Consider the following 20,927-nt stretch of genomic DNA (forward strand, 5'->3'; position numbering starts at 1 on the left):
TCCCAGTTCAGATCAAGGGTTTGCAGCCTGGGGGTTGGGGATCTAAACCATGATTTATTCAAATATAAAAAAATCAAATTCAAACTCTCTCTCTAAATACCTGCTTGGCATCTCACCCCCTAACCTGTTTTATACCAAAAAACTTCAATCACAAGATGGGGTTGGCAGTATTTCAGAAATGCTTTTCAACAGTACAACAACCTTTTTTTAGAAACTAGGATTAGCTTAACACAAATATGGGTATGTAAAAGTAGGCACTGAGTTATGCAATATTTATTCAAGTGGAATTCTTCCAATATTTTCTGGAAGAGAGTTACTTTTCAATAATGCTGTTCTGTGGACCAACATCTTAGAGAAGAGTGTTCATCTTTTTTAAAAATAAGTGTTCTTATGTATAAAAAATGCATAAGTGTGTAAAAGTAAGATACATATTAGATTTTCTATGTAATCGATGATTAATTTCAGCAAATTTTATTTGAAAATTTTAAAATTAGGATTTTTTTCTATGAAAGTTCTCTCCATTCGTTTTTATTTCCATTTTTTAAATCCTGACAAAAATGACCATACTCGGATCTACATGCTTCTAACTTTTCTCCTTTAGTTCATTATTAACAAGCTTGTTACTTGTCAAGAGTGAACTATCTCCCTCTGCATTCGTCTGCTCAGTAAACCATCTCCATTACTGTCTCCATCTCTTCACTTGTCTATTCTTTATTTCCATCTTGAGCCTATTCATTCTGGTCTCTAACCTGATGGTGGAATGGAACTGTATGTTCTTCCCACTCATCCACCATTACACATAGCTCTAAACTTGTCTGTTTTCCTGAGTGCTCAGTAGCTGTCCTTTCTTTTTCCTCTGGACTTCTGAAATCTGACCATTGTCTGAAATTCAGTCTATAGCCCATTGGTCATCTCTTCATAAAGTCTTCTTTCTCAAGAACTCATTCATGGCCTGCCATGGTGGTTCACACCCGTAATCCCAGCATCTCGGGAGGCTGAGATGGGAAGATCACTTGAGCCAAGGCATTCAAGACCAGGCTAGGTAACATAGGGAGACTCTATCTCTACAATGTTTTTTAAAAAAAAATTAGCCAAGAGTGGTGGCACGTATCTGTGGTCCTAGCTACTCAGGAGGCTGAGGTGGGAGGATCGTTTGAGCCCTAGAGGTCAAGGCTGCTGTGAGCTGTGATCGTGCCACTGAACTCACTTCTCAAAGAAAAAAAAAAGAACTCATTTATCCTCAAGGTTTCAACTGTCACTTGATTCCTGCATCTTAGCTCCAATTGCCTACTGGGCATCCCACTAAAGTTATGGCCTCATCTAGGATAGAACTCATTATTGGACCATCTGAGCAGATTATTGTCAGTCTTCATTGTTTCATTACTAAGTCCTATCATTCTTATATTGATTCTTTTCTTTTCTTTTTTTTTTTTTTTGGAGACAGAGTCTCGCTCTGTTGCCCAGGCTGGAGTGCAGTGGCACAATCTTGGCTCACTGCAAGCTCCGCCTCCCAGTTTCACGCCATTCTCCTGCCTCAGCCTCCCAAGTAGCTGGGACTACAGGCGTCAGCCACCACGCCCGGCTAATTTATGTATTTTTTCGTAGAGACGGGGTTTCGCCGTGTTAGTCAGGATGGTCTCGGTCTCCTGACCTCATGATCTGCCTGGTTTGGCCTCCCAAAGTGCTGGGATTACAGGCGTGAGCCACCGTGCCCGGCCTCTTATATTGATTCTATCTCTCAAATCTATCTTTTCACTTCTCTTTGCAATTACTGTTCTTAGGCTATGGCTTCATTATCACATTGATTTCTCCCTCCCCTGGTCTGACATTAGTCTTTCAAAATAAGGCTAAGACATAGGCTTGCATATTGGTAGTTTATTTGGGCAATAATCCCAAGAAGCATAACTGACATAAGAGAGTAGGACAGAGAAGGAGGGAGAATGAGTTCAAAAATGCCTTATTGAATTGGCCACCACTATGGGTAACTGATGCTAGGTCTCACCAGGATCTTATAATGAGTCTTACGAAATTCATCTCAGAAAATCCACCTGAGAGGTGAAAAGAAAAAATATTTATTTATGAGTTCTTGGCCTCCATTGATTAAAGATGACCCTACTGGCAATACCTCCCCTGCACTTCCTGATTGCACATGTGTGTGTCTGAGCGTTCTTCTGGCCTCCACCACGGCATTAGAGAAGTTCTGCACAGGCAAGAGACAAGCAAATAAAAAACAAAGACATGGGAAGTTGTAGGTAAATGTTTGGGGCTTAGGTGACTGTTGTCCAGTTGTATCAACAAGATGCTGGTCCAAACCTATTATAGCAGCTTCTAGAGCAAGACATGGCAGAAAGAGGACTTGACTGGTTCATAAAAGGCATTTAATACACCTTTTATTTAGTTTGTTGTGTGGGTCTCTTGTTTCTTCAGCAGGACTCTAAATGTCTCAGTGACATATATCCATTCAGTAGAATTAAGACACTTGCTAAACGAATCATTCAATCATTCACATTCAATTTTCTCATGATGTTAAAATCTTAAATATTTCCAGTTCTATTTTCTCAATAAATTGCCTAATTTAGTAAAATTCATGTCATATAGTTAACTCTCTGGAATTTTACCAACAACTACCACCAGCCCTCTCTGGATCTGCTCCCAGTATTGATGTCAAAGCATTCCCACCCACTATTATTAAAGCTTATATTTTGAACTCTTTTCTCCTGATTATATTGTGTTTCATGTTTCTATTACATCGTTTTCCTCAAGACCATGGAACCTCTGTGTAGGAAGTTTGACCAGTTTAGCAACACAGTCACTGGCTAAAAAAAAATAAAGAAGGTGAATGGACTATCTAAGTTTGGAACACTGGGCTCATTAGCCCTCATAGTCCAGCCATCTAAGCTAGACTATATTTTGAAATCTTCCATCTGTAGATTAAGATCAAATTGTTCCAGTAACTTTAAGGTTGCTTTTCATTACATTTACTTATCTTTACACCCTACAGCTTAGATAGACATTTTTTTTTTGCATTCTCTTCTCTAATCTATTCCATCAAGATAGTTCAGAAAAACTGTAGCAATTCATATTAGTTCAGGTTAGATGATGACACTCAGGCTGTATTTATGTCCTACATGCAAATAGTGTTTATTTTGAGAATGTTCTAAAAATGAGAAGGGGAAAATAAATTCACCTTCTTTATCCTTTGGGTACAATATAACATCCACAGAACTTATCAAGCTCTTTACTTATCATCAGGGGTTTTCAAATGTTGAAGATAAAGTTTTCAGAATACCTCCCTTAAAGGAAATTTGGGGAGTCATTTAGACCTAAAATAAATGCGCTTATTGTTTTTAAAGACACTAGGAAAAAAGTTAGAGAATTTGAAAAATATACTCATTCATTTAACAAATATTCACTAAGCATTCTATTCTGAAAAAGAATATAAGTCCTTGTTTATCACTTTAAAAAATCTTTATTTTCCCACTTATAGAACATTAAATACATTTTCTGCAAAACAAACAAACTAAAAACTTGGAAAATATAAAAGCACCTTTAATCACACCACTCAAAGGAATACTGTTAACCTCCAATGGATGTCTCCATTGCTTCTTCAGTAGAATCCCCCCAAAAATGTTTTTATGGGTTGAAAGCATTAAAAAGAGTCTCTATTTGGGTAGACTCATTTCTAGGTAGTGAGATTGTATCTTACTCTTCATGGTATCAACCCCAAGAGCTGACACATACTATGTGCTAATAAAAATGTTTAGGGGATAGTTCATCAGTCTTATTAGAAATCAGACAAAATCAAAATATATTACCAAATGAACTCAATTCCCCATAGTACCTGCTGTGAAGCAGGACATTTAGAATGCTTAGTCTCATTAACTAATTCTAATTACAAGTAGATGTGCACCTATCTTGAATAGAGTTTCTCTATGTTTATCACAAGATGATAAACTTTGGTGTTTTATTAGGAATGATATTTGGTGGCACAGGCAAGAAAAGTCCATCCTTATCTGGTTATTGAAAATCAGGAATATGCTATCATTTGGAGTACAAATGGTAGCAACAGTCTAAAATTCTCTGCACCACTTTGTTTCACACCAACCAGAGGAATAAGGCAAAGACTGATTGACAAATGTCAGTAACTCATTTTTCACATATGACAAAAAGTGACTAAACTGATAAAATTATCATTTCAATGTTCTTGCCAGAAGGCTCAAGTAATTAGCAAAACTAACCAGCAAAAAAAGAGAGCAAAGCCCATTATTTTTCTTATGTTTAGAAATTACATAAGTACTTTCCTTCAAAAATAAAGGTTTTCCAGCCGGTATCTGTCTGCTGGATATAAACAATTAGCCTGTTTTAATATGGAATTTTCCCTTTTATTTTTAGTATTAGAAGGGAGATTCTAATAAATCTATGAGGAGGAGCATCACCCCTTATTTGTAACCTCAGGACATAAAACAAATATTTCCGACCCCCTTCAAAGTGTGGAGATGGGTCCCATATTTGTAAAACTAAGTTCTTTTTACCTTTAAGGAAATGAAATCAGCTTTTAGTCTGCCAGTGTTTTTGCTACAGTTTTAATATGCAGTCAAACTTTATTATGAAAGCCTACAGCAGATATTTGGAGCTAAGAGACAAAAAAAGTAACATGTCTAGCATGGGAGACCTGGGGAAAATGGACGGTGGTGCCATTTACTGAAATGGGAAAGGCAGAAAAGCAGGTTTGGGGAAGCTGGAGAGGAGTTCTGTGTGGCTCCTTGGCGTCTGTGGTAACAGAATTCAATCTTGGTTGAGTCTGTGGCACTGGTTTGTTTAACTGAGCTTCTGCCTTGGTCCTGTTTTTCATTCTATTCCGATACCCCAAGAGAAATGAATCTTGCCTCACCTTTGCCAGGCCTCCTTACTGGGCTCTTGCCTCACCTCTCCCCTTGAATAGCAGGCCAGTAGAGACAGGCCATCCAGGTGTCACTTCTGATCAGGCTTTCAAGGTTAGCTACCTGCCTTACCTAGAGTTCATGAGACCCTTTTATGTCAAACTCTCTTTGCTAAGATATGGATCATCAGTCATTCAGAAGTCAGGCCCCTTCCTGACTTGTCTGTCTTGTGGACAATTGGCTTTATCCCAGTGAGTTCTGAGAGAGACAGTTGTTCAATTAAGAGAACAGATTTTTCAGACTATTAATCTGTTAGCTGGAGAAAATAAGGTGCTATGGGACAAATGGTTAGTTGTGTATAATACGTGAACCTAGGAATAATCATCAGGCTCTTGAAGACCTCATCAAGCCAGGAAATATATGCTAGTTAGCTTCAGTGGTCTTCAAGAAGAGGCTCTGCAGCTTTAAGTAATGTATCTCAAAGCTTGCAAAGGCATTTTTTTCCAAAATAAGCCTTAAAATTATAAGTATGGAGTTAGAGTCACCATGTATATTTGAATTGTACAGTGAACCACTGGGATAATTCAGGCTGAGTCCATAACCTCTTAATTATCTTTGATAGTTTAGAAAAATTTGTGCTTCCTATCCTGAATTACCAGTTAATTACAGCTGTAAACCTTACCTACTGTCTTTTATTGTAAATGATGTTCTAATTTGAGTTGGCACTCTTTTAAATGACATTTTAGGGTTCAACGTCTTTCCTAGGAGATAGAGAAAACTTAAGAAAAAGGTCTTCTAGAACCCCAAGTCTTGAAATAGCTGCCAGTAAACCAGGAACAAATTCCATATCAAAAAGAGCCTAAAGTTCATCTCTATTCTGATACACATAGTCACAATTCTAATTTTCTAGTATGAAAAACTTAATCAAATGAGGAAATATCCTGGTTTTAAAATGAATTGATGGTTTGTTTAATTAAAAATATTAAAATTTTTTATAATAATCATATTTCCCAAGGCTGCCAAACTAGTTCCTTCTTCCATATTGTGCCAAGCTATTTGGCCAGCTACATGGACAGTGACCTTATTTTATTCAAGTATACTACAGAATCAGTGAGTGGTTTTCAGCTCTAAATTTACTCCCTCTGGTGATCCTGCTAATTATAAACTTACTAGCCTTCAGGGAATGGTATTAAATATTTTCCTCTTTTGGCAACTTAGTCTCTGAATTCTAAATCGAATGATGCTTTCATGTCAAATGACCCATTCGAGTGTTTTTTAAATGTATTTTCATAAGATGCAGCATATATTTTTAGCAACTAGTAAATAATTATATTAATATACTTATACCAATTGTTTAAATCATAATGAAACACTTACTGACAAATAAAATAGCAATTACTGATATAAAATGGGGAAATAATTTTACTCTCCTGCATTTGTACAGAGAACATTTGAGTAACAGTTTTCCCAAGCAAAGTAAACCAAATATTTATCTGGTGGATTTAGGCAGCAGAACACAACACAGAGAGTTTACATGTTTCAAGAAGTTACATACCTCCTGCAAGCGATATAACCTAATATCCAAATTATCTTAGTCAATTTGAGCTTCTATAACAAAGTACTATAAACTGGGTGACATAAACAATAGAAATTTATTTCTCACAGTTCTGGAGACTGAAGTCTGAGTTCACGGTGCTAGAACGGTGAGGGACTGGTGAGGGTCCTCTTCTGGTTGCAGACTGCCAGCTTCCCATTGCACCCTCATATGGTGGAAAGACAGCTAGCTAGCTCTCTGGTCTCTTCTTTTAAGAGCACTAATCCCATTCATGAGGGCTCCACTGTCCAAAGGCCCTTCCATCAACTACTATCACATTGGGATTATAGTTTCAACATACGAAATTTGGGAAGCACACAAGCATTCACTCCATTGCACAAATCTTCTGACCCATCCTAAACTTATTAGGATTTTTCTCATTCCAGTTACAGAAATCTCATTTGAAAGTCCATAACATTATTAAGTAGCAAAAAATGATGATATCCATCCATAAGATTCATTTTCCCCACTGGCCCTTAGTGGTCCTTTAAATACTAAACATTTATAAACAATTGATGACATGAGAGGATTCCACAAGCAAAGATTTCACTCTTTTGTTTCACCTCTGATAGGCAAAAAGCCAAATGAGGTGAAGTGGATATAGGTTTAAAAAGAGACTTGAGTGACATCCCAGGGTACTGAAAGGGAATGAAGAGAAACTTAGGAAAGGTAGAAACAGATCTCAGCAGATGTTAATTTTCTTGAGTTGCTCAAATTATTTAGGACAACTGCAATGAATTCTAAGTCAACAGTCAGGAAGAAATTGATTTGGAAAAGTTAGATGGGGAGTTTAATTGAATATGAGAAAAAGCAATGAATCAGCACTTGGGTAACTGCATAGGAAATGCTGACCCAGGAATTAAGCAGACTGGCTGATCTGTAAAATGGATCAATGTTAGAAATAAAAATCACCATAATTTCCCATCTGCTACTGGCATCAAGGCAGAAAGACTAGTTTTCAAATAATAATAAAAGCAAATATTTATGGAGTGCTAACTTAACAGTTTTGCCATATTACCTTAGTTATTCTCACAACAACCTGTGGGAACTCACTGAGACCCCCAGAGTTGATATAAAGATTATTCTAAAGACATTTGAAATTCAACAGATGCAGAAAAAAGCCTTCTCAGAACTTACCTTATCTCACTAAATGCAGAAACTACTGGGAGTGAGGCTGCCATAAATCTCTTCTGGAGAATTTTACTGGCCATAAAGAAGACAGAGAAGACCGCTTGCACCTGCATAAACAAACATTATCACAAACCTTCTTCTTTTTCATTTCTTCCCCTAAATACTCATTTGTTCTTCCCTACATAGAGGGCTTTACTCCCCCCTTCTTCTCCCCCATTAAGTAACCTCTCCCCTATTAGGTATATAAACCCCCATCTTTAGTTGTTTAGAGTCACATTTTTCTGTGTGCTCCTGCGTGAATAAAAATCTATGTTTTGTCTAAGTTTAATTCCCAGGCCCTCAAGAACTGAACCTAAGAGGGTAGAGGAAAAGATTTTCCTCTCCAACAAACATTACTTACAAAGGTAAGTAATTTCATCTTCATTAAAAACATGAGAAAACTTAGACTCAAAGAAGTTATAAAATTTGCCCAAGTTCATTAAACCAGAGGAATGAGGATTCAAATCAGGTTAGGCTAGGCACGGTGGCTCACACCTATAATCCCAGCAGTTTGGGAGGCCAAGGCAGACAGATCACATGAGGCCAGCCTGGCCAACATGGTGAAACCCTGTCCCTACTAAAACTACAAAAATTAGCTGGGTGTGGTGGCACATGCCTGTAATCCCAGCTACTCTGGAGGCTGAGGCACAAGAATCGCTTGAACCCAGAAGGCGGAGGTTGCAGTGAGCCAAGATCACACCACTGCACTCCAGTCTGGGAGACAGAGCAATACCCTGTCTCAAAACAAAACAAAACAACAACAACAAAAAACACATGCAAGCTATATTATCCCAGAGTCTACACTAGTATCACTTCATTAAATTGTTCTTACATGGTCTAGAGGCTTTAGCAGCCCATGCAAATGGGCAGATCTTAAAAGTGATTCTTCTTAGTCCTTACCATCAGGTGTCCTAATTCTGAATGTTTTGGTATTTACCAGGAGGGACATTATTTGGGTGACTGCAAAGTTTACCTAAATTATTTGGTAAAAGCAAAGATAAATGAAGCATTTGACTTTATTTTACTTCCTTCACAAGCCAGTTTCTAAGGTTGGTATGTTTAATTCATTGGAAAAAATTTCTTACATACAACTGAAAACTGACTCAAGGTAAAAGAATCCAGCATGAATAAGACTTGTAATTTCTCACAGTCAGTAATGAGGAAATTGAACAGGCAATAAACAGGACATTTACCAACCAGAAACCAATGCCGTTGAACTCCCAAACATGTTCCAACTTTGCACAGCTGAAGAAACAGCCACTGAATTGTCATTACTAGCAGCCATGAAGGAAGAAGACAGCCAGCCAAGATCATGGTGAATCGACTGCAGTTCAAAGGATACGTAGTAAAGGAGTAAGCTGGGGATGCAGGTGAAAGGGAAGTAGGATGGGGGTGTAAAGGTAAAAAGAACGTCTCTGTGATAGACATAGACAGGAAAGCAAGCACTGAAGTAGGCAGCACCACAGAGCTGTGTTAAAGACACCAAGACAGATATTACTACCTCCCTCCAGTTAAAATAATCAAGATGAATTAACATGCATAGATTTCCTGGATATTTTTGAGAAAAAAAACAAGATATAAATCAATACGTGTAACATTTTTGCTTTTAAAAGTCCACAAAATGGTATATATTTCCCAGGGATATACACATATAAATGTCCATCTATATTTCCACAATAAAAAGACTGGAACCATACCATGGAAATAAACAGAGACCACCCAAAATGAGAACAATCAGAGGCTATTTATTCATTGCTTACTAAAACAAGGGAGTCAAACACCATCGCTTGTGTTTGGCAGATACTCACAGGCAGCCAAAGCAGAAATGAAAAGCTTTATAGTGAAAAGAGGGAAGATTCACAAATGCTACAATTGGAAACTTGGTTTGGGAAGCTAGAGGTGGGTAATTACAAGTGAGCCATCTTATGTGATTGGTTTGGGGAGTACATTTGGCTTTGTCTGGTTGGTCCTGAGTTAAAAGCTGACAGTCATTGACCAAGCACTGACACTTCAGAACCAATTGTATCAGAGCTTGTGGTTTGGCTTCCCAGGCTGGTTGCTGCAGAGGTTGTGTGTCCGAGTTCTATTGACATATATGGTCTGGTCCTTGTCCGTTTGTATATTTAGTCTATCAGTATGCACCAAACTAACATTAGTGGTTACTACTGGCAAGATGGGAAGGGATAGGGTCAGCAAGTAATTTCATATTTTGTAATTCTAAATTTGTTTGTAAGGAGAATATATTTACTCATTTTTTTACTTGTATAATTTTGTAAAATTCTGAAGCAAAATGGCAGAAGATTGATAGCTGTCATTCCTAATCCTCACAACACTGCAAGATGGGTTGTATTCTTATTTTACAGTGGAGGAAAGTGAGGCACTAACAGGTTAACCTGCTCAAGACCACACAGTTGATAAATAGCAAATGGAATTTAATTCCAGGCATATCTGATCCTAAAAGTTACTTTTCACTATGCCATGATCCTGCTTACAAATGTATAGTTATACTAACATTAAAAGAGAGAATGGGCTGGGCATGGTGGCTCACGCCTGTAATCCCAGCTCTTTGGGGGGCTGAGACAGGAGGATCACTTGAGCTTGAGACCAGCCTGGGCAACAAAGTGAGATCCTGTCTCTACAAAAAATTTTTAAAAATTAGCTGGGTGTAGTGGTGCATGCCTGTGATCCCAGGTACTTGGGAGACTGAGGCAGGGGGATCACTTGAGCCTGCAGTAAGCCATGTTCACCTCACTGTACTCCAGCCTGGGTGACAGAGCAAGACCCGGTCTAAAAAAAAAAGATCAGGCGCAGTGGCTCACGCCTGTAATCCCAGCACTTTGGGAGGCCAAGGCAGGCGGATCATGAGGTCAGGAGATCCAGACCATCCTGGCTAACACAGTGAAACCCCGTCTCTACTAAAAAATACAAAAAATTAGCCAGGGGTGGTGGCGGGTACCTATAGTCCCCGCTACTTGGGAGGCCGAGACAGGAGAATGGCATGAACCCGGGAGGCAGAGCTTGCAGTGAGCTGAGATCGTGCCACTGCACTCCAGCCTGGGCAACAGAGCAAGACCCCGTCTCAAAAAAAAAAAAAAAAAGAGAATGGCCATTTTTACTCCTTACAAAGGGTGAGCATAACATATTGGATTAACCCAATATTGCATCTATTAGTACAATATTAGCATCTATTTACTAAAGTGGTGTTAGAACTCAGAAATGGCTGTTGCCATTGCAAGTTGAGTTATCTGAAGTTACAGAACTTGACACGACATCACATGACAGTCCTGCCTGAAGTCTGATTCTTTGTACTTCCAGAAGGGTAGCTTTGGCTTTTGAGAAAGAGATAGCATTTAAAATGTAGTTATAACTAATGAGAAAGTAGGTATCTTTCAGAAAATTCCTTGTAGAGCACCATCTATCACCTATATTGTTGATAATGGTGTTGGCCAATTTCTAATCTAGGAAATGCTAATGAATCAATTTCCTATAAGTTTAAAGCAGTTGTGTGAACCAGCTGATTGTTTTTCACGTGGTAATGTAGCTAACTTAACTTTGATTACCTTGGTGATCAAGAACTTGTAAAGGTACCTCTAAATTAAGAAGGGCTAACCAATTGTTGCAGGATTAAACTCTTCTCTTTAAAATCTTTAATTGGAACCACAGGTTGTAATGATCTGTAATTTAAAAAACAACAGTTTTTATGTTGGGTAACTACAAAACTCACATGGAAAAACAGATTAATATCTATAAACATTTTTGCTATTTACTGCCCTAAATATTACCTCGAGATTTACATAGTAACTCAGGGCTTCTCAACACTGAAACAGCACATTAAAATCACCTGGAGAGCTTAAACAATAATATCAAGGCCCTCCTCCCTTCCTCCAAGATTCTGATTTAATTGGTCTAGGGAAGGTCTCTGCATCAGTATTTTTAAAAAGATCACTAATTGATTCTATAAGGCAGCCTAAGCTGAAAAGCACTGCTATAGATGAAGATGATAAAATGAAAAGGACTTCATGATGCGGTTCAGTTTGTTTACCAGCATCCATCCCTTTGGAGAATCATTATTTCCTATGCTGTGAGGTCCTGGTAAGGCTGACCCTGACTCTTCTCATCCATAGCGAGTCCTCATAGTGTGCACATGACCCAGTTCAGAGTAATGCTTTGTATATGTTGATGCTATATAATTAGATACACATACATTTTATACCCTCATGGTGGCTTAGTATTTTTGTCATTATGAAGCATACATTTTATTTTTACAAATGCTTTTACCTTATAGTTTGCTGATATGGTTTGAATGTCCCTGCCAAAACTCATGTTGAAATTTAATTGCCATTGTGAAACTGCCTTTGCAAAAATTATAACTGAGAGAATTATGACAGTGAAAGAGATCTGAGCTAACCAACGCCATCTTGCCTTTAACCTCAAACTGTCCTTGATCATTCCTGGGTGTAGGCCAAGCTAACTTTGGGATAAATTTAATTTATAGTTTAAATGAAAATAACACTTCCCCAAAACTAAACCACCTTTATAAAACTAATGAAAGGCCACCAGATTAGGAAGATGAGAGGGGCCTGAATCCTGCTAAAATACAGGTATAAATGATTACCAGCCATTATTCCAGAAGTCAAGAAATTTATTAACTTCTTCCATTACTCCTGTATTGATTTTTTGAGATGTCTTTTCAGGCTTTTGCACTTCTGACTACCAGATAGCCCCATCTGGACCTGCAATTCGGGATTCAACCAGTCATATGGCCCCCACACAGAAGCAGACACAGTGCAGGAGGGCTGCTTTCCACACCCCTATGATTGCATCTCCAACCAATCAGCATTTCCTAATCCCTAAACCCCTGCCTGTCAAACTATCCTCAAATAGCCTCCGAATTTTCAGGGAGGCTGATTTAAGTAATAATAAAATTCCTGCCTCCTGTTTAGCTTGATCTAACATGTATTAAACTCTCTATTACAATTCCCATGTCTTGATAATAGGCTCTATCTGGACAGCGGGCAAAATGAACCCACTGGGTAGTTACAATTGTAATAGTGTTATGAAGTGGGGTCTTTAAGAGGCGATTAGGTCAAGAGGGCAGAGCCCTTATGAATAGATCAAAGCCATTATGATGGGAGTGGGTTAGTTATCACTGGAGTGGGTTCCTAATAAAAGGATGAGTTTGGCCAGATTTCCTCTCTGTCTGGAGTATCACAATTTAAACATCATGCTTGTAAACAGTACAGCATTGACTTTGTCACTTAATGAAGTATTTTCTTCTTTTACATTTAATGTAGTTATTGATATGTTTGTATTTAAATCTACCATTTTATGAAGTGCTTTCTGTTTATATTGTCTTCCTTTCTTGTTTTCTTTTTGGATGCAATTTTAATTGCATTTTGCCCTCTGAATTATCTTGAGGTTATATAAAAATCACTTAGGAAGATACTACTGTTTCTTTTTATTATCTAATTAATTTTGCAGTCATATTTTATTTTCAAGCAGACATGCAACAATACGTGTTTCATTTTATTATAGTCATGAGAAAAGCATGTTTGAAAAGCAAGCCATTATAATTTTGAGAGAAGTTCTGGGGAACTTCCTGGGGGAGGTGAATAGTCATTTGATCCTGTGATCTACATTAGAGGCTGGCAACCTATATCCCATGCACAAAATATAACCCAAAGACTGGTTTCAGATGGCCTGTAAGCTAAGAAAGGGCTTTACATTTTTAAAGGGTTGAAAAAAAATTAAAGAAACATATGTGACAGAGACCATGTATTATCGATCTGGCCCTGTACAGAAAAAGTTTGCTGATGACTCTCCTATATCATCTTGCCAAGACCTGTAAAGGTCTGAGAGTTTTCCCCTCCTTGCAGACCAATAAATTAGCTTGCTACAATTTCATGGATGCTAGTGGGAGACAGGATAACCCAGTGTAAGAAACAAAGGACTTTGTTATTTACAGCAATAGCAGTCATCAGAACATCAGCATTAGTACCAATTCCTTATGCCCTAATTTCCACCAGGTAATAAGAAGAGAGCCAGGTGACACCAGCATGCACAGTAGCTGTGTTACAGGAGAGGATAATGAGCTTAGGGCACCCAAATCTTTTATAATGGACAGTAAGCACACCTGCTCTTTGCTCTGCAGGGAGACATTATCTCAATCTTCCAAGGCTGTTTGCTATTACAAATTACAAATATTTAAGAAAAGATAGTTTGGAACAAAGTCAATGCCTCTAATTACAAGATATAGAGAAACACAAGAGAATCATGGAGCACTGTGATCCAATAATCTAAATTTGTATCTATAGCGGCCTTCAGATTTTATAATAGTTATATCATTTCAAAAGTTCATCTGAGCCAAGTGCTAAAATATTTTCAGTATTATCTTAAAGGGTGGAGGAAATAATAGTTACATCACCTCATAGGGATTTCTAAAGGCAATTTAAAATCTTAACGTTTAAAAAATTATTACTCAGCTATTTAAAAAATTCTGATATGCAGAAGGACTGATTTATGGTATGGGCCAGGTAAGTGATAACTTACTCTACAGTCATCTTCTAACTAATTTGGTAACTTGACATTTTCTTTGGTGGATGCATAAACTATATCATGTTCTATAAAATTTTATTACTACAGTCCAAAATGTTTTAAAATTATCCCAGAATTTGGCTAGGCACAGTGTACAGTTAGCTGTAATCCCAACATTTCTGGAGGCCGAGGCAGGTGGATCACCTGAGGTCAGGGGTTCGAGATCAGCTTGGCCAACATGGTGAAACCCCATCTCTGTTAAAAATACAAAAATTAGCCTGGTGTGGTGGCACACGCCTGTAGTTCCAACTACTCAGGAGGCTGAGGATAGAGAATCGCTTGAACCTGGGAGGTGGAGGTTGCAGCGAGAAAAGAGCGCCACTGCACTGCAGCCTGGACAACAGAGTGAGACTCTATCTCAAATAACAGTAATAATAAATAAATAAATAAATAATCAATCCCAGAATTTAATAGTACACATTTTACAGAAGAAACTTAAACACTTTAAGGACATTTTAAAATGTATTGATTTAACAAGTATTATAGTTGATATTTAACATCTAGAAGTAGAGCTCACTAAGTAGTTTTCTCGCAGCATTATAAATGGAACAGTGTTTCTAAAAATTATGACTTTTTTAAAAAGAATTCTTTTACAAGATAAATGTTTACAAGGATGTAAACTATGTAACATTTAGTTAAATATTTAACAAGCTGCTTCTATTAGAAACAGTAAGGTGTAAAATTGGGAATCTTTGAGAAAATCTAGATCATCTTTAAATGTCTGATATGGGACAGTTAGCAGAATTCTCTAATATGAAACCTTTTTAACCCTAGAAACTCAAAGTATGAAATCCAGTCAGAACTGATCTGATGTTGCTTTAATATAGGCCTGAGCTGGAGAGCTCTGGAGAAAGCAAGATTACTTTGGGGACAATATGGAATCCCTTTAGGGACAATATGGAATCTCTTGTGTCCAACTAAGTATGGTCTAGTAGCTTTGAGTTTCTAGCCTACTGAACAAAAGCTGCAGCTAAGATCTGATGTTCCACTACATAATTTTACTGAGTAATTTTAACATAACTTTATAACATATAGGAAGGAAGAATATAAACTAAAAAAGTCTTGCATGATTAGTTGCTCTTCACTACTTAGTGTTTCTATTTAGATTTGTTCAGTCTCTTTACTATAGTTTGGGTTAAACTATAAGTCATTTTAGCTGAGGACTAAGTATGGACTAGGTTCATGTGGACTATTTTTATATATTCATATACTAACTCATTTAGACATCCTTAAGTGTTTTGATAAAATCATATTTTAACTGTTCTATTAAAATATCTATTATATGCTTTCCAAGGCAAATATAGAATATAGAAAAAGTCCGCATAAATAAATTTCATTTCATTTCATTTATCACATGCCAACATTTAACCAAATAAATTTTATAGAGATGCTGGAACATCTGCTAGTCTCTGATAGGGTGTTCTAGGTGAGGTGAGGACCAGCAGTTTGAAGGAAGTTTGGAGAAAAGGATTACTTTATGTCTGGTAAGATAATGTTCTTTACTAATAAAACTTTCCCACCTATTGACTTTTAGGACGCCTGAAGGAAAAAGAAAATAGGAATCATTTAAATGTTAAACACATTGTTAAACACATTTTTTTTGACAACCCAAACTCATTAGATTTATCATATTCATCTGTCTGCTGTGATTTTTTTTTCCCTAGGTGTGTTCTCACAGACTTCTTTGAAAAAAAGAAAGAAAACGGGCTGAGTTATATGTGAACTAAATTTACCTATCATTATACATTTACAAGACAAATGGCAACACAGGAAATGGGCTTCTAAGCAATTTGGAAATTATATATAACCTGAAAGTCACAAAGAAGATTAAAATTTATGTACAAAAAGTTATAAACAAAATATAAAAATTAACCACAAAATGGGAAAAATATTTGCAACACATAATAGACAAAAACATTAATTTAATTTACAAGTTTTACAAATCACTAAAAAAATGCAACTTAGAAAAATAGGCAAAAGATATTAACAGGCAGTTGACAGAGAAAGAAAAGCAAATGAAATCATGCTAAACTTCACTCATAATTAAATAAATGCAAACTAAAATAAGTTATATTTTTCAACTATGAGAGCAGTAAAGATAAAATATTCTGACAACACACAATGTTGGCAAGTAGCAGTTCATAGAAATGTAAATTAAAACAACTTTTTAGAGGGCAATTTTGCCATACCCATCAAAATTAAAAATGCTTGTACTGTCTCAACTGTAATTTTATAGCTAGGAATTTAAATGAATAAACTCTCAAAAATTGCAAGGTTCATTTTCCAGTGTACTCACTGATCCATTACTGGTAATAACAAAAAATGGAAAATAATCTAAATCTCCATCAGTCTGCCTGAATAAATTATTATATACCCAATCAATTCAATATTATTTAGCATTGAGCAGAAAGAATCATACATCGTGTTAAAAAGTGAATAAAAAAACATGTGCATTATGATCCGTTTACTTATATGAAGAAATATATATAAATTTTTTCAGGAAACGAAACAATGAGGCAACTAAAACAGATCTTTAGGGAGAGGAATTAGTAGACTTCATTTTTCATTTTATATCTTTATGCCTGATTTAAACTTTTATTTTGCCACATATATGTAAAAAATTTGTACATATATAACATATTTTAAATAATAGTTATTGTAGTACTATTAAATAATATTTTAGAGAAAAGAAACTACACAGATAATTGTTCACAGGCCCAGTCATTCAATATATATGGTATAGAATTCATCTCATCCACATTGAGATACCTTTTCAAAACAATGACTGCAAAAAAAGGGGTTTCCATTCTTTTTAGATGTTATTTTTAAATTCATTTCATAATAAAATCCAATACCATAGTATAACTCATTTTTTTCCCTTTCTCCAGAAACTTTAAGCAAATACTTGAAGTTATAGTAAAGGATCTTAAAATAATACCATTCTTGGTTCAACCACTTGGGGAAACAGTGTGTCTTTATCTATTGAAGGTGAAGCTATACATACTCCATGAACCAGCAATACCGTACTAAATATACACCCTAGAGAGAAATCTACTCATATATTCACCATGGTATGTGTATACAAATGTTCACAGCAGAGTGTTTATAATAGCAAAAAACAAAAGCTAACCTCAAAACTACTAAAATAGTAATTAACATTAGAATGGCTATATTAATTATGGTATATCTATACAATGGTATATCTATACAAAGAATCATCCTTAGGCTTGCAGAACAAATTTTAAGGTTTGGGCATTTATAATTCAAAAATAAAGTACAAAGAGGCTGAATATGGAACTGTGTCCAAACCATCATAATAAAAATTAGTACCAGTACAGAGAAGAGATTCTATATTTAGATTAGAAGATGGAACTTCTAATTACTTCTTCATTATTAAACCTTTAATATTCATTCCTAAATTAGATTTAGCCATTCCTTTTCAAGAACATTACATTTCCTGATATATTTCATAAATTGCAAATGCTCTTAAACAATCAGACTAATATATCCTTCCTATCATCATTATTCATATTAACCTATCCTCACAGAAAGAAACCTCTAAGAGATGAAAAAAAAAAAAGTGTAAGAAGCATGTCAAGAGGCTAAAAACCACTACTTAACAAAACAATCTTTTTTTCTTTTTCTTTTTTTTTTCTTGGAGATGGAGTCTCACTCTGTTGCCAGGCTGGAGTGCAGTGGCATGATCTCGGCTCACTGCAACCTCCGTGTCCTGGGTTCAAGCAATTCTCCTGCCTCAGCCTCCCGAGTAGCTGGGATTACAGGCGTGTGCCACCACACGCGGCTAATTTTTGTATTTTTAGTAAAGACGGGATTTCACCATGTTTGCCAGGATGGTCTTGATCTCTTGACCTCGTGATTCGCCTGCCTCGGCCTCCCAAAGTGCTGGAATTATAGGCGTGAGCCACCACACCCAGCCTTTTTTTTTTCTGAGATGGGGTCTCACTCTGTCACCCAGGCTGGAGGGCAGTGGCATGATCTTGGCTCACTAAAATCTCAAAATCTCTGCCTCCTGGGCTCAATGAATTCTCCCACCTCAGCCTCCCAAATAGCTGAGACAACAGGCGTGTGCCACCATGCACGGCTAATTTTTGTATTTTTTGCAGAGATGGGTTTTCACCCTGTTGCGCAGGCTGGTCTCGAACGCCTGAGCTCAAGAGATCCTGCCACCTCAGCCTCCCAAAGTGCTACGATTACAGGCGTGAGACACCAAGTGATAAGGTTTGACAAATCTCATCTTGAATTGTAGCTCCCATAACTCCCCCATGTTATGGGAGGGACACGGTGGAAGATAATTGAATCATGGGGGCAGTTTCCCCTGTACTGTTCCCGTTAGTGAATAAGTCTTACGAGATCTGATGGGTTTATAAGTGGAAACACCTTTCACTTGGCTCTTATTCTCTTGTTTGCCACCATGTAAGACATAGCTTTTGCCTTCTTCCATTATTGTGAGGCCTCCCCAGCCACGTGGAACTGTGAGTCCATTCAACCTCTTTTTATTTATAAATTACCCAGTCTCAGGTATATCTTTATCAGCAGTGTGAAAATGAACTGATACACCATGCCTGGCCAAAACCAAAATCTTCTTAACTCATGTTCCACATTTAAATATATGGTAGCAGTGGTGAAGGAGAGTGAAGAGAAGTTTTGAATTGTTATAGTATACATGCACACACAGGTTCACACGCACACACAAACCATTTTGTAAGGGGAACATTTATTTTAAATCTTAGCCATGTGTTAATTTTCACTTAATATTTGTAGGAACATTTTCAGTTACATGTTCAACATAATACCATTTTAATACTAGTATTAAAAATGTTTTATAACCCTTTATAACACAGGAAAACACAGGTTTCTACCAATGGGCAGAACTTGTCATCATGGGGGATTCCAGTAAAAGACTATTTCCCAATCTGCTACGTACAGCCGACTGCCTAAATTTGGACCAATGGATTTGGTGTGTGTGTGTATGGTAGGAAGTTGTTTTCTCCTCTCTAGGTTTTCCTTCTCACTGACGAGATAATAGCAACAAATAAAGGCTCCCATCTTTAATTCAGATGAAGAAGCCTCCTGATGAGAAGGACAGAGCTGCCTGGCCAGCTTCAGACAGGTCATTTCTAGATTGCTGTCTGAGTAGAACAGAAATGTCTGTTATTTCAGCACTGAAATTTGAAGATATTGTTATAGAAAATTTTAACACAAAAGTCTAAATATTCAGTTAAATTATTTGTAGGAAATAGTTCAATCAATGTCATTAGTCAAGGCAAAAATCTTTGTCATAAGAATTAGGGGATAAAAACAAAATCTTAAAAATATGTACACATGAATTTTTATGTATATGCTCATGTGACATTAAAGGTCTCTCCAGGCATTACATCAGCAGTCCCCAACCTTTTTGGCACCAGGGACCATTTTCTTCCATGGATTGGGGTGGTGAAGGTGGATGACTTTGGGATGATACAAGAACACTACATTTATTGTGCACTTTATTTCTATTATTACTACATTGTAATATATAGTGAAATAATTATACAACTCACCACAACATAGAATCAGTGGGAGCCCTGAACTTGTTTTTCTGCAACTAGATGGTCCCAGCTGGGGGTGTTGGGAGACAGTGACAGATCATCAGGCATTAGATTCTCATAAGGAGCACGCAACCTAGATGCTTCACAGGCACAGTTCACAATAGGGTTCATGCTCCTATAAGAATCTAATGCCACTGCTGATCTGACAGGAGATGGAGCTCAGGCAGTAATGCGAGTGATGGGGAGTGGCTGCAAATACAGATGAAGCTTCTCTTGCTTGCCCACTGCTCATCTCCCGCTGTGCAGCCTGGTTCCTAATGGTACCATTCTGTGGCCCAGGGGTTGGGGACTCCTGCATTACATCAAAGTAAAAATCACACACACACAAAGACCAAGATACTTACAGTAATAAATTTTCTAAATAGTTGAATGTCAACACTATGATAAACAAAATTGCAATGCAACTAACTGGAGAAAACCAATTTAGTTTAGGGTTTTTGTCCATAATACATGAAAAAGCTCTTAAAATGGGTAAAATGACAAAGAACATTGTATTAATAGATTTTTGGTTGCAAGCCACAGAAACCAAGACTCTGGTTAACTTAGATGAAGTGAATTACTGTAAGAGTATGGGAAAGTTAAATGAAAGAAGAAACAGATGCAGAAAGGACAACGGAAGTAGTTCCAGAGGGTGCTGCTGGCAGGAACTACCATACTGTCTTCCCTGAGTACTGCCACTGGAATGGACAGTTCCTTAGAAACAGACTGAGGTGGCATAGAGATGGCATAGAGAAAGCATAGAGAAATGGCATAGAGGAAGTTTGATTGAGAGTATACTCAGGAGACACAACTATAAGGAAATGAGGAAGGCAGGATTGGGCAGAGGAAGCAGCAGACTCACAGTGAGGATGCAGCTGAAGCCTCAGTCCATCCTACAGGGTGTTCTTTGAGGTAGTGGCTCTTTAGATTGTCCCAAATACAGTCAATGCCCTTTATATTGACCATCAGCTAGTCAGTGGCCTTGGGTTGCCCTCAGGCAAGGCAGTTGCCCAGGGAGGGAGGAAGTGAGATATAAGCAACTAAGAGTCCCACAACTGGACTTACTTTTCTGACTTTGCATCACACCACCCAAAATTCAAA

The 20,927-nt window shown here is 37.2% G+C and overlaps 1 long non-coding RNA gene across 19 annotated transcripts in view; it reads right to left on the bottom strand.

Moving 5' to 3' along the window:
- SLC12A2-DT (SLC12A2 divergent transcript) overlaps positions 1-20,927 on the bottom strand; it is a 142,736-nt gene that overhangs the window by 113,093 nt on the left and 8,716 nt on the right. For 8 of the 19 annotated variants that reach the window (NR_152813.1, NR_152804.1, NR_152802.1 and 5 more), the window contains one exon: positions 7,612-7,712. The exons of 1 other annotated variant lie outside the window; for it this stretch is intronic. This is a non-coding gene — a long non-coding RNA (SLC12A2 divergent transcript). Of the gene's footprint in view, positions 1-3,475; positions 7,113-7,611; positions 7,713-8,841; positions 8,969-11,204; positions 11,319-20,927 lie in introns of those variants that run through there. 10 more of the 19 variants (NR_152809.1, NR_152805.1, NR_152799.1 and 7 more) reach the window with 5 other exon arrangements.

Source organism: Homo sapiens, chromosome 5, assembly GCF_000001405.40.
Source record: "Homo sapiens chromosome 5, GRCh38.p14 Primary Assembly".
Taxonomy (NCBI): Eukaryota; Metazoa; Chordata; class Mammalia; order Primates; family Hominidae; genus Homo; species Homo sapiens.